The following is a 12,763-nucleotide window of genomic DNA, read 5'->3' as shown; positions in this document are numbered from 1 at the left end:
TTCTGAAAATGCCAGATGGGGATGGACGAAGCCAAGGCCCCAGCCACCTTTGCCCCCATCATGTCCTCAACTCTCGGCCACCTGTGCTGCCTTCTATGATAGGTCTCTCCCTGGTGGGGTCCAGGCCTGGAAGGAGGGCCCCTCACTAGGCTGGAGCTGGAGACCTGACAATAGTTTTGGAAACTCTTCTGAAGCTGGCTCTGGAGGAGAGGGATGGTGAACGTGGCTGGGAGGTGCGTGGGCAGAAAATCCTGCTGGGGAGCAGAGCAGCGTTCTGTGGGGAGCCCTGGGAAAGGAGCTGCGCTTGATCTCCCTTCATTATCCACTGCACTCAGGCTCAAGATGCACTCTTCTGCTCGGGTGGGGAGCCCAGTCCTTGCTCTCCCCTATCCCCTCACCAATCTTGAGCTCATAGAAGAACATTTCAAGGCCCTGGGCCCTACTTCAGGACAAGGATCTGACCTCCTTGGAGATAATAAACTTAGGAATAGGGGCAGAAGGCAAGGAAGGTATTCAGGGTTGGAGAAGAAATAGAGGGATCAATATAGGTAGGGAATCCAGGCTCCTGGGGAAGCATGGCTCCATGGCCCCAAGAACCCCCATATCCCTGAGACCCTGAGAACCATCTGGCCTAGGCTTCTACACCAGGGAAATATTGGCATTATTACCAATATTGTGCCAAGCACAAGGGATCGTCACAATGCAGAGATTAAAAGTGTGAGTTCTACTGGCCGGGCACGATGGCTCACGCCTGTAATCCCAGCACTTTGGGAGGCAGAGGCGCGCAGATCACCTGAGGTTGGGGGTTTGAGACCAGCCTGACCAACATGGAGAAAACCTAAAAACACAACGCTACTAAAACCTACTAAAAATACAACCCTACTAAAAATACAAAATTAGCTGGGCTTGGTGGTGCATGCCTGTAATCCCAGCTACTTGGGAGACTGAGGCAGGAAAACTGCTTGAACCCGGGAGGCAGAGGTTGTGGTGAGCTGAAATCACGGCATTGCACTCCAGCCTGGGCAACAAGAGACTCCATCTCAAAAAAAAAAAAAAAAAAGTGTGAGTTCTGGAGCTATTGGGTTCAAATCCTCACTCTGTCTTTTATTTGTTGTATAACTTTGGACAACTTTCTTAACCTCTCTGGGCCTCAGTTTCCTCATCTGCAAGATGGGGCTAGAATAGCACCTCTCCCATAGGACTGTGAGGATAAATGAGATAGCTGTAAAGCGCTTAGTGTCTACACTTCATGGTAAGCACTCTGTATATGTCAGTTGTTAGTTTGGGATGTACTCAGTAAGTATTTGTTGAATGAATGAATGAATCAATCAATGAATTTTTGGAAGTAATGAGACAAGGAGAGAGAAGGCCTGAGAAAAACATCATTTTATCTGTCTTTCTGACTCTGAAACCTCTAGGCCTCTCTTATTTTGGAGGGAGGGAGTTTCCTAAGGAAGATTCCATAGTCTCCCTTCAGCTCTCAATTATTTCAGATCTGTGACCCTTAATCCCCAGCTGAGCAGTCCTTCTAGATGTCTTACCCCAGTCCCTCCCACTACCATCAAGCTCCTACCCTCCTACCCCTGGGTCAGCAGCCCCTTTCTGGTTTGGGGGAACGTTTGCTGTTGTCCAGCCTACTCCTTCCTGTTCTAAGCTGGGTCCAGGGCGGGCAGGATTCAGAGTGGAAGCCCAAGGACCACTTCAAACCCTGGGATTGTATGTGGGGATCATTAATTTAAAGAGGCCCAATCCTGACCAGCATGGGTATGAGAACCTTTTAGATCTCATTCTGATGAGATCTTTCTCTTCCTCTCTTTATTGACTTTCCAGATTGTGTCTTCCCCTCCTCCACCCCAGGCCACGCCCTGATCTTTGCCCAGCTCCTCCCCTTTGAGGGTTGTCTCCTTAGGGTCAAGAATTTTAAGAGGGTTACTGTTAAGGCTGCACATCTGTTGGGCACCTTGAACTTTTTCCAAACATAAACTTGTTTTACATAAAACTCAGACTTTGTCAGAGCACTGGAATCTCCACCCAGGACAAAGCCTGGTCCTGGGTCCTTCTCTGAGCACCCTGCACCCACCCCACCCTCCTCTTCACTTCCCTCAGCACCCAGCCCCAGACTCCAGAGCACCTCCAGCTCAGAACCAACCATACTCACCCTTCTTCCCTTAGATAAACTTCCTTTCAAAGCCTGGCTTAATCCCTTCCCCAATTCTGAGCCTCCCTCTGCTGGGGGAGGGGTGGGGGGAGCATGGATCCCGGGCTGCTGGGCAGAGGGGGAGGGGAGTGGCTGCCCGAGTAGTGACCCAACCCGGACTCAGACTGCAATTCTCCCAAGTTCTTTGTGACACAAAAGGTAAACAGAAGGCCTGGCTCCCCCACCCCCCGCCCACCCCCCACAGATCTCCCCTCCCCCAGCCAGCCAGATGGGCTGGCAAGCTGGAGGGAAGGGAGAAGGGGAAAAAAGGGCAGATTGTGCAAAGGAAAACAAAAGAGACAGAGAGACATCAAGAGACAGGAAGCATGGAGAGACTGCGAGAGAGCTGGTGGATGAGGGATAAGGGGGGAGGATAAGAGAAGGGGGGACTTGGTGACGTGACTGCAGCAACAGAGATGGCCTGGGAGGGGCTGAGCCCCAGACACAGGAACACAGAGGGACAGAGGGAGTGACCGACAGGGACGCAGAAACATGAGAAGTGACCAAGAGAGACCCTGAAGGGAAGAGGCAGGGGAGAACAAACAGTGAGAGAGGTACAAAGAGACAGGGAGAGCTGCAGACAAACTTTGAGTGACAGGGACAAAGAGGCTAAGCTAGCGGAAGGTCTGGCTGATCAGGTGGAGACGAGAGAAAGTGGGAAGCCTTTTTGCCCCACCCCTGCAGTGACTGTATTTCCTTTGAAAAGTTGCCCACTTTTTGGTGTTGGAACTGGCAAGAGCAGTTCTCCAACGGGTCCTTGCCCTCCCTCTGTGCCAGGCCCACACTCCAGCCCAACCCAGAGCCAGCGGGGTGCTCTCTTCCTCACCTGCACAGCAGAGGCAGACTGTTTGCTGTCATTGTTCCCTGGGGAGCTCAGGCCTGAGGCCTGCTGCAGCAGGAACTGCCGGGCCACTTGGAGAGCCTGCAAGACAGGGGCTGAGTCAGCAATGGCCTGGGAGGCTGGGTGGGATCCAGGGATTAGGGAGTGTTTGGGGCAGTAAGGAGAAGGAGATCAGGGTAAGGTGGAAGGTCTTGGGGGTGAGAGGGTCATGGGTCCATAAGGGCTTGGGGTAAGGGTAGTAGAAGTCACTGAGAAGAGCTGTTGGGGTTCAGGGATCAGAGCCTCTACAGACTCAGCCTGGGACCCAGTGAAGTTTTGTTAGGACTCAATGGGGACAGCAAATGGAAGGGCCCATGGTCAAAAAGGGACTCTTAGAGGAAAATAAAGGGGGTTGACTCAGGGCATTAGTAAATCAGTACTATTTGTTGAGCATCTACTATGGGTCAGGCACTGTACAGGCAAGAGCTTATTTAATCTTCCTCTGTAAGGCTGTAAGGTAGGGATTATTGCCCCATTTTGCAGATGAGGAAACGGAGTCTCCAGGAGGTTAAGTAACTTACCCAGGATCATACAGCTAGGCGGCATCAGAGCCAAGATTTGAGCCCAGGAAGCCTGGCTCCAAGGCCAACTGCCTTACTGGGTGGTCAGTCTGGGGGCTAAAAAGTAGCATTCACTGTGGAGCCAGAGCACACAGTTGGGAGGATGAGGGAAGAGCCCTGGGGTCAGTGGCACAAGGTCTGAGTACCGTGTGACTTTCTGAGTTCAAGGATTGTACATGCATGCTGCTGGAGGAATTAGATTAAGTTCTGAAAGGTATACTATCAGCAGAGATGCATGGACCATCGTGCTGTGGGCTTGGTGGCCACAGTGGCTTAGACTGAACTGAGCCAGAGGGGTCATACGAGTGGGAGGCATATGGAGATTGCTGGAGGAATCACTCCAGTGGGTCAGTGTGACAGTCAAGGAGTAGGAGGGGCCCGGAAGGTAAACTGATGGGCAGTGAGACGTCTGGTAGGAGTGAGGGGTCAGGAGGGCCCAGGAAATTATCTATGAGGCCAGTCAAGCCCTCTATGTCCTCACTATGCTTCAGTGGGAGGTTTGAAGGCAAGTTCTGAATCCACATTTCAGCAGCACAAAATTTATCTGCTTCCAGATTGCTCAAGACCCCCTTGGGAGCCAGTGCAGGTGTGTCTAAGCCCTTGACACAGGGCTCCAACCTTAGGCAGTCCTGGGTCTGAATCCCAGCTGTGCGGCCTGCCAGCTGCGACCTTGGGCAAGTTATTCCAGTTCTCTGCACTTCAGTCTCCTTATCTGCAAAACTGGGAAACTACCCATCTCCAAATTACTAGGGGGATTAAAGGACCAATGTTTGGCATCCAGTTGGCATTCGGGAAGTATTCACTCCCTTCGGCTCTCATTAATCTCTCCACAATTCTCCACTTCACCTCCTCCAGCCTCTCCCCAACATAGCCTCGTGCCCTGCGCACTTATTAGACGAAATGCGCCCGCCTGTGGCTCTCTCTCACATCTGTCCACACATACACTTGTTTTTTCTGTATGGGCCCCTATTCTCCTACCCCACCACAAGCACCTTCAAGGCAAAACCTTTTAAGGTGGGATATGGCTGCACCACCCATCATCGCTCAACAAGCAAAGAGAGTGACCACTGTGTACCAAGCATATACACACAACCACCTTCGCGTCCGTTCATCATCAGTGCAAACAGCCGAGCCTCCTGAGGCTTTAAATCTAGTTTACCCTAGGAGGGCAACTAAATATGCACTGGCCTATTGACGGGAAGGTGTCCTGCAGCAAACCTGGAGCTCAGATTGGTGTGCTCCTCACAGGCCACCCCCACCCCACCTCCTTCCCTGGATGTCACACCCAGAGAAGTGCCCTGGGCTTCCAGAGGGGGACAGGATGTTTCTCCTCTTCCAGATTCACTTCAGAAAGCAGAAATCTGACCTTTCTAAGTCAAAAGGCTCTGCGGAAAGAGGAGGAAGGGTGGGGGGGGGGGTTGCGGGTGAGGAAGGGCAGGGAGTCAGGTGGTCATTAGGAAGGAGCCCCTGCCTCTACTACCTTGCTTTTACAAACTCCTCCAGGTCTACTGACAAGTGCTCTTTGTCCTCCAAAGGTGGAGGTAGAGTAGGGTTGAGGGGGTACAGGGGTCAGAGGCCAGGGCACAAGGGTAGGGGAAGAAGATGGCTCAGAGAGGCTGGCCAGCCCAGGCGACCCAAAAGGGACACTGGTTGGGGTGGGGAGATGACACACTCCAGATCCCCGGGGGACAGGAGGGAACAGCAGGGAGGGGCTCCTGGGGGCAGTTGGGGGCAGAGCCCTGCTCAGTCTCCTGGGGTGGGGTGGGGGGTGGCCAGGGGAGTTGACTCCCCACTGACTCTCTTACTTTGTGGTCCCCTGGAGCATGAAATTACATGATTTACAGGAAAAAAATGGCAAGGCCTTGCAGTCTCATTCCTGAGACCTCCCCCTCCCTGTGACAGGCCCTTCCTCCCCCTACACCCCCTACCCACAACCCCTTTCCTTCTTCCTGCCAAGACCAGGCCAGATGAGAGCCAGGTAAGACCTTAGGTCTGGCCAAGGCTCCCCTCCCTCAGCTTCCCACCATTCCTTCTCATACATGGGTCCTCACTCACCACTCTTCTCACATCTATGAAGTACCTGCTGCGTGCCAGGGACCAGGCTAGGGGCTGGGGATACACAGAAACAGAATGTGGCCTCTGCCCCCCCAGGGCTCACAGCTCAGGTTCTGTGATGATAGCCTCTAATATAAAGAATGATAGCCAGGCGCAGTGGCTCATGCCTGTAATCCTAGCACTTTGGGAAGCCAAGGCAGGCGGATCATGAGGTCAGGAGATCAAGACAATCCTGGCTAACATGGTGAAACCCCGTCTCTACTAAAAATACAAAAAATTAGCCAGGCGTGGTGGTGGGAGCCCGCAGTGCCAGCTACTCCAGAGGCTGAGGCAGAATGATGGCGTGAACCCGGGAGGTGGAGCTTGCAGTGAGCCGAGGTGGCACCACTGCACTCCAGCCTGAGCAACAGAGCAAGACTCCATCTCAAAAAACAAAACAAAACAAAACACAAAACAAAACAAAACACGAATGATAAGAAACTAGTCAGCCTGAAGTGGGGGTGAGTGCCAGGGGTCAGAGAAGGCTTTCTTCTACCTGGGGAAGTCTCGGAAGGCTTCCCAGAGGTGGTGGCAGCACTAACTGGAGTCTCGCCATCTGAAGGGCGAGTTAACACGGTGAACGAGGAGGGTCACATCGACCACGCTGCTGCACCAGATGTGTTCACACTGCCTGCTGGCACTGCGGCCTGGAGATCACTGGACTGCCCACCTCAGAGAGACGTGGGAAATAATGGGTCCTAACTCCGGCAGATCCCCAGCCCCACTTTCTTTGAATATGCCAACCAGACTGGGGCCTCCTTGAAAGCACAGATGTTGTCAACTGTAGCTGTGAACCCCCATCTCCAACCACCAGCACACAGCAGACATGTGATACCCACTCACAAAACTCATTTTAGTCTAGGCTGAATACGGGAGGCTGGCACAGGCTGACACTAAACTTAACAGCTAACATTTGCCTTGCAGTTTTCAAAGCACTTTTTCAAACATTTAATTGAAGCTTCACAACATTGAGCTAGGTGGAGCAGGTATTGATATCCCTATTTTACAGACAAGGAAACTGAGGCCTGAAGTTCCACAGCTAGGAAGTGGCAGAGTCCAAACACCTCTGACTGCTCAGGGCTTACTCCACTGAGGGGTCTCCATGATCCCATGCACAGTCCAGCGAGGCCTTCAAATCTGCCTTCCCCCTAATCTGCATGTGTTCAGCCCTCCAGTGAGAAGGGGAAGTGAAGATGGTGGAGGTGGAGGAAGAAGACCAAGAAAGGAAACTCCAGGGGAAAACTGGGCTCAGTTTCCCTTCCCTAAGGGCAAGAGATACCCAAACACAGCCCTGGGTGAGAAAGGTGTTCAGATACCCACACCAGGAAGAAGCCATTATGGAAAACCTAGGGGAGGAGGAAGAGGGGGCTTAGGCAGAGTGGAAAACTGGGAGCCATTTGGCCTCTTGAACCTCATTTTTTTCCTCCTTCTACCCCTTGGACTGAAAACCAAATGTCCAGCTCTGTGGTTTGGGGATGATGTCCAGTTTTCCTCTAAGGGAGGTGTACTGTCCATTCATGCATGGACGTCAAGAGAGATCTGGATCCAAGTTCTGGCTCCACCGTATGCTGGGTAACCTTGGGCAAGTCACCATCTCTTTGAGCCTCCGTTTCTTCCTCTGCAAAACTGGAACAACCCCATACTTTCTTCATGGGGTTCCTGGGAACAGCATGTGGGACTGTGCACATGGAGTACTTAGCACACTGCCAGGCACCCAGTAGGTCCTGGACGAACGCTATTATGATGATTGATCTTTCACCAGCAGCTCCTGGTCACTTGCCTGGTGCCACCCAGAAGGCCTTGCTAACCAAACCCTCTTCCAGCCCAGCCCCCATTCCCCCTCAAGCTTAAGAACTCAGTCTCGCTAATGAAGCTGAACTCTCCTCCCCCCATCCCCCATTCAGAAGTCATTAGCAGGATCTCCGCAATTAGGAACAAATGGCTTATAACGGATGGCATCCAGGGAGGGCGGTTGGGATGGTGGAGAATGAAGCTGTAGCTTTGAGGGCAACAGGGAGCTGCTATGAATAGAAAAACAAGTCTCGGTGCTATGGGGTCTCTCTCTCCCCTCCAGGATAGGACCACACTCCCATTTCTGGTTCTGGGAATTCGGGGTTGGTGGAGTGGGGGGTGGGAGAGGGGTCATTCTCTCTCAGGAAGCCAGGTGCGGGGCTATTTACCAGTCCTTTCAGCAGGCTGGAGGATCCCAGATCTGTGTTGGGGTGCCAGCCTTATTCTCTGTGTGTGCAGGAGGGCAGGGACGTGATAATCAGGGAGACAAGCTTGAAAGGCTGTTGAGAATGAGAAGTCGAAGAGCTTGGGCCACAACCCCTGGAGAGCTGCAAGTGTTAGAGGGTATCTAGTCCAGTATTTTTCAAATTGCTGCTCATGGCCCAGTAGTGGGTCATAATATCAATTTAGTGGGTCAAAAAATAGGTATTTTCTAGTTCACTGATAGATGGAGAAACAGAGATCCAGAGATGGGCAATGATTTGCCCAACGGGACACAGTGGCAAAAGCAGAACCTGAATGTACCAGACCTGAAACTGGGCTCTGCACAGGGAAGAGAAACCAAGCGCTGGCTGGGCAGGATGGAGGAGGTACTAGCAAATTCTGGTTTAATTTGGATTGTGGTGAGGGGCAGCCAAAACAAACAAACTCCAAACTTCCTTTGTCTGCCTCTGGCTGGTTTTGGCAAAACTGGGATTCAATCTTATCTAAATTGTCTCCATAATTAATTTTCACTGGGAACTGGCTGGATTTAGGAAAAGAAGGGACTAGAAGGGTATTTGAGGGTGCTGGCCCACCTCGCCCCATTCTGAGCCAGAAAAGCATCCCCAGGAAAGCCTATTACCTTTACCTCCAGAACCACAGCATGACTATTAATTTAACAATTTAATGAGTGGTTATTAAGCCCCACAGGGCACTCACAGTGTCCTCAGTACTGGGGACTCAGCATCTTTAACGGGGCTCACGTTCTAATGGGCCGAGACAGACACTACACAAAGAGACATGCAAACTCTGAGCTGGTGGCGAGTGTCCCATGGAGGCTGGCTGGCTGGCTGGCTCTAGGGTGTGTGGCCAGGGAAGGCCTCTCTGAGGAGACACAACATCAGGAGGAGGCAACTCTTCCAAGGGAGAGTATCTGAGGTGGAGGGAACACATGGTGCGAGGCCCTGCCGTGGGAAAAGCTGGGTGCATTATGAATTGAAAAGCCAGTGTGGCCAAGAGAAGAGTGGCCTGAGAAGAAGTCCCAGAGGTGTGCAGGTGCCAGATTACACAGGGACAATGATTTTTTATTTCATTATACACTTGAAAAATCGCTGAAGGATTTTGAGTAGGAAGTGATACAGTCTTTCGGGGTAGATACTTACTGCTGGTAAACAATGGATGCCTAATAAGCACTCACTGGTTCAAAGTAAAGAAGGAATATCGCTTCATCTACCCCTCAAAATGCAACTCCTCAGGGACCAGAGGGTGGAAGAAAGGGGTACAAGAAGGAGGAGTTAGAGATTAGTGGTCCTGACCACTGAGGGAACTGACCTGGGGGGAGGAAAGTTCTTGACCAGCCAGGCTTTGTCCTCCAGCAAAGAGACATAAAAATGAAATTACACAGAGAGGGGGGACAAGGAAGGTGGGGAGAGGAGACCATAAAACCCCTGAAGTTATTCCGCACTTTTTTCCCTTGGGAAAAAAAAGCTTTTTGGAAAAGGCTGTAAATTTTTTTACACCAACCTCGTAAAAATGACATCGGCGCATTCTCAAATTAGAACCATTAAAATGAAAACCAGCAACGCACAGACACAGACAGGCCCACGTGGGTGGGAGACGACTCACATCCTGGGTGTACAGCCCCGATTTCAGGACGCCTTCCCTACCAAGTGCCTTGAAAATGCCTCCTCTCTATAAGGAACTAGTTTCTGGCCTCAGAGAGATGAGAATTTACAGCTGAACTCAACAGCGTGGATGAGGAACTGCGATCCTTCAAAAGGCTCCTTCATTCTCTCCATTCCCTGAACCACTGCTCTCAAACTCAGGCAGGCTTCGCACCAGCAGTGCCCGGCCTCTGCCTGCTTCTAGCAATGATGCAGCCCAGGGCTCATCCAGCTCCTGCAGCCAAAACCAGCTCTGCAGGGTGTCATGAGGGGGAGAGTCCTCAGTGCCTGGAAGGAACTCTCTGACCTCCAGCAAGGAGGTGAAATCACCAAGGTGGTGGTGGGTGACCGAGTGGCAGTGATGCAAAAGTTCCCGTGATCACTTTCCTCATTCTTGGTGGCATTTGGAGGTGGCTACCAGACATACATCCCTCCCACCAGTATCTGTGGAGTTCTCTGGAAGTGGGTCTGTGCTGGGGTTTGGGTTCTGAGCCGCTTCACTCTAGCCACCTCTGCAATGTAGGGTTGGAGTGGGGGCAGTGGTGGTGGGGGATGCAGTTCTCGTCCTGAAGATTCCTACTGGGCCTTCTCAGAATAAAGGTGCTCCCCCAGGGGAAAAGCCAGCTCTCCCACTGAGGGTTCCAGGCCAAGTTCTGCCCTGATGAGGTGACCCTAGGATGCAGCCTTCCCCACTTCAATCCTCAAGATAAATCCTTTCTCAGAAGGAACATTCATCTCCCTTCCCCAAATTCTCCTCTGTATCCCCAGTTCTAATCAGCAGGGAAAAGAATTCTGCCATGAAGGGGAGGTGAGGGAGGGAAGAAGAGGGATTTCAGAATTCCATATTAGGAGGGAAGCTGGGGGCTCTCCTGCTGGTAGAGTGGGCTGGCTCCTTTTAGTCCCAAGAAAGCAGGGGTCTGCAGATCCCTCCTCCAGGCCCCAGCCCCGCCCTCTGCCCTCCTAGGGGAATTTTCCAACATAGGAAACAGGGCGGTCTTTGGCTCTCAGGGACCTGGGAGGGGTACAACAAGGGGGATGGTTAAGGCCCTCTCCCAGCCACAGCACTCCCCAGCTCCTCCCACCTCCCACCTGTCCTTCTCTCACTGTGTCAGGCCAAGGAGGAAAGGGCAGTTTCTGAGCATTCCCCAGCAGCTGGTATGAACTGGTGTGATGTCCGTAAGCCTCCCCTCTGGAGAGTGCGGGCCCCAACTCTCCCTCCATGCCATGGCTCCTCCACGGGAGGGGCTCATTCTCCAGAAGAAAAAGGAGAATGCAGAAGGTGTGGGATCAGACAGGAAACAGTAGAATCTGGGGCACACAGCCAGCAGTCCTGAAGAGAAATGGGCCCTGGACCTGCAGACCAAAGACAACTGTTGACTGCGTGTGTGTGTGTGTGTGTGTGTGTGTGTGTGTGTGTGTCAGGGGGTGGTGGGGGGCAAATTCACCCTCTGAATCCTCCCCTTCCCCTGCTGTCATCCCTCTAAGTAGCTTGGGCAGAGGAGGCCCAGATGGGGGAGGAAAAGGAAAGAAAAATCTCTCCCATTCTTCTTCTCCCCTCCCCCAACTGCCTGACATTCCCCCCATCTCTTTGAAGGGGGGGTGAGGTAAAAGCCCATTAATGTGCAAAGCCCCCCAACCCTTTTGAATCTCCTCACAGGATGTGAACGGGATGGGATTTGGCCCAGTTGCCACGGCAACTGCAGTGGGAGTTCCCAGACGCTAGGCAACCCTCCCGTGACCCTCGCTGACCTGTCACCCCCGCAACCCATGGACAATGGGAGTGCGCACTCCAGAGGCCCAGGACGCCTTTCAGCGTGGCCTCAGCACCGCCGCCAGCGGCTCTGCCTGCCTCCACCCCACCAGCTCGGCCCTCCTGGCCCCAACTTGGCCAGCGCACCCAGACCAGCCCCCAAGACCTCCCCTCCCAAAATCTGGCACACACTTCTCCTAGGCTTCATGGCCCCTATCAGAGAGAGTCCTAAGGGTATTTGTGGGGTCCCTGAGAAAATCCCCACACTGGGAACATTTTCATACAAGTGAAATCAGATTAGAATAAAACACAAGGGCAACTTTCGAAGAAAAGAGCCATCCCATAGGGTAAAATGCAGGGAGGGGCACTGTGGTAGAAGCATTTGCCTTGGCGAGGGAGGGGACGGATGGGCCACGGGTGTGTCTATGGTCTAGGGTATTCTTTAACAGCAGCTGGGGATCACCAATGCCAGCTGGCCGGCACGGAGCCCAGTGCAAAGTAAGACTGAAGGTGTGTTTGCAGCTTGACTGACTGCTCCAGAGCCTACTGTACTTCCTGCACCTTCTCCTCAGGGTAGACAGATTCCCCATAGGGCATAAGACTGCAGACTTGGTGAAAGCCCCAAAGACAGCGTGGAGGTGATATGGCTCTGTCACTCACCAATGACCAGGCTGGGATGAAGGAGGTGGAAGCTGGGCCTTGAGGGCTGAAATGGGGCAGCCAGCCAAGGACCCTCTCCCTCTAGTCAGACCTGGCCTGGCAGCCAAGCCAGGTCACCCCCCAGCCTCTGTTTAAACAAGCTCCCAGCCTGCTCGTTGCATGGAAACAAGTGCCTGCTCTTGTTCCAAAGTGACGTGGCCACCCTCTTCAGCACTGTTTGTTTCAGCCTAAAGTCCTGTAACAGGCCTGACTTCTGACTCGCCCTGTTTATCTCTCTCCTCTCTGTCAACTCATTACTCCCAAAGGCCAGGATTGCATTTCCAGGGCTTGTTTACTGAGAGCAGAGGGACAAGGACCAACAGACAGACAAAGGCAGAGGAGCTTGGAGAGCCACAGAGAGTACGAGGAGAATGGGACCAGCGTGTGGTCCACAGACCCTCTCCTACCCCACTTCCTATCGAGTTTGCAGATGGCACTAGAGTGGCTACTTAGGGCCAGCGGGCAGCGTTGCTTTTCTATCACAGAACCCTTTCAGGTTGGAAATGAAATGCTCTAATTTACTCATCAACAGACATTTCCTTAGCATCCACTATGCTCGAGGCCTCGCTGCCTCCATTTCCCACAGCGACTGTGTGATGGAGAAGCAGCAAAGGGGCAGGTGTGCTGAGCCCTGAACTAGGAACTGGGAGAGTGAGGTCTACGCAGCCTTTATTGTGCCATCTTGACAACTCAGTGCCTACCTCTGGC

At 52.7% G+C, this 12,763-nt stretch overlaps 1 protein-coding gene across 16 annotated transcripts in view, besides 4 other annotated features; it reads right to left on the bottom strand.

The window, feature by feature from the left end:
• Positions 1-12,763, bottom strand: part of FOXP4 (forkhead box P4) — a 56,004-nt gene that overhangs the window by 21,280 nt on the left and 21,961 nt on the right. For 12 of the 16 annotated variants that reach the window (XR_926052.4, XR_926053.3, XM_011514289.3 and 9 more), the window contains exon 3: positions 3,024-3,119. The exons of 3 other annotated variants lie outside the window; for them this stretch is intronic. Coding sequence is in view for 10 of the 13 variants with exons in the window: in XM_011514289.3 (XP_011512591.1) it covers positions 3,024-3,119 (96 nt within the window). In the remaining 3 variants the exon portion in view is untranslated. Of the gene's footprint in view, positions 1-2,158; positions 2,277-3,023; positions 3,120-12,763 lie in introns of those variants that run through there. One more of the 16 variants, XM_011514293.4, reaches the window with a different exon arrangement.
• Positions 1,482-2,104: an enhancer, noted in NCBI's record as "H3K27ac hESC enhancer chr6:41546739-41547361 (GRCh37/hg19 assembly coordinates)". NCBI's record gives its function as "activates a minimal SCP1, AML or CMV promoter by ChIP-STARR-seq in primed H9 embryonic stem cells {active_cell/tissue: H9 hESC(primed)}" and the evidence as "EXISTENCE:reporter gene assay evidence [ECO:0000049][PMID:30033119]".
• Positions 2,105-2,728: an enhancer, noted in NCBI's record as "H3K27ac-H3K4me1 hESC enhancer chr6:41546115-41546738 (GRCh37/hg19 assembly coordinates)". NCBI's record gives its function as "activates a minimal SCP1, AML or CMV promoter by ChIP-STARR-seq in primed H9 embryonic stem cells {active_cell/tissue: H9 hESC(primed)}" and the evidence as "EXISTENCE:reporter gene assay evidence [ECO:0000049][PMID:30033119]".
• Positions 10,516-11,414: an enhancer, noted in NCBI's record as "H3K27ac-H3K4me1 hESC enhancer chr6:41537429-41538327 (GRCh37/hg19 assembly coordinates)". NCBI's record gives its function as "activates a minimal SCP1, AML or CMV promoter by ChIP-STARR-seq in naive H9 embryonic stem cells {active_cell/tissue: H9 hESC(naive)}" and the evidence as "EXISTENCE:reporter gene assay evidence [ECO:0000049][PMID:30033119]".
• Positions 11,415-12,315: an enhancer, noted in NCBI's record as "H3K27ac-H3K4me1 hESC enhancer chr6:41536528-41537428 (GRCh37/hg19 assembly coordinates)". NCBI's record gives its function as "activates a minimal SCP1, AML or CMV promoter by ChIP-STARR-seq in naive H9 embryonic stem cells {active_cell/tissue: H9 hESC(naive)}" and the evidence as "EXISTENCE:reporter gene assay evidence [ECO:0000049][PMID:30033119]".

The sequence above is a fragment of the Homo sapiens genome, chromosome 6, assembly GCF_000001405.40.
Source record: "Homo sapiens chromosome 6, GRCh38.p14 Primary Assembly".
Classification (NCBI taxonomy): Eukaryota; Metazoa; Chordata; class Mammalia; order Primates; family Hominidae; genus Homo; species Homo sapiens.
This window is presented reverse-complemented; position numbering and strand designations above follow the sequence as displayed.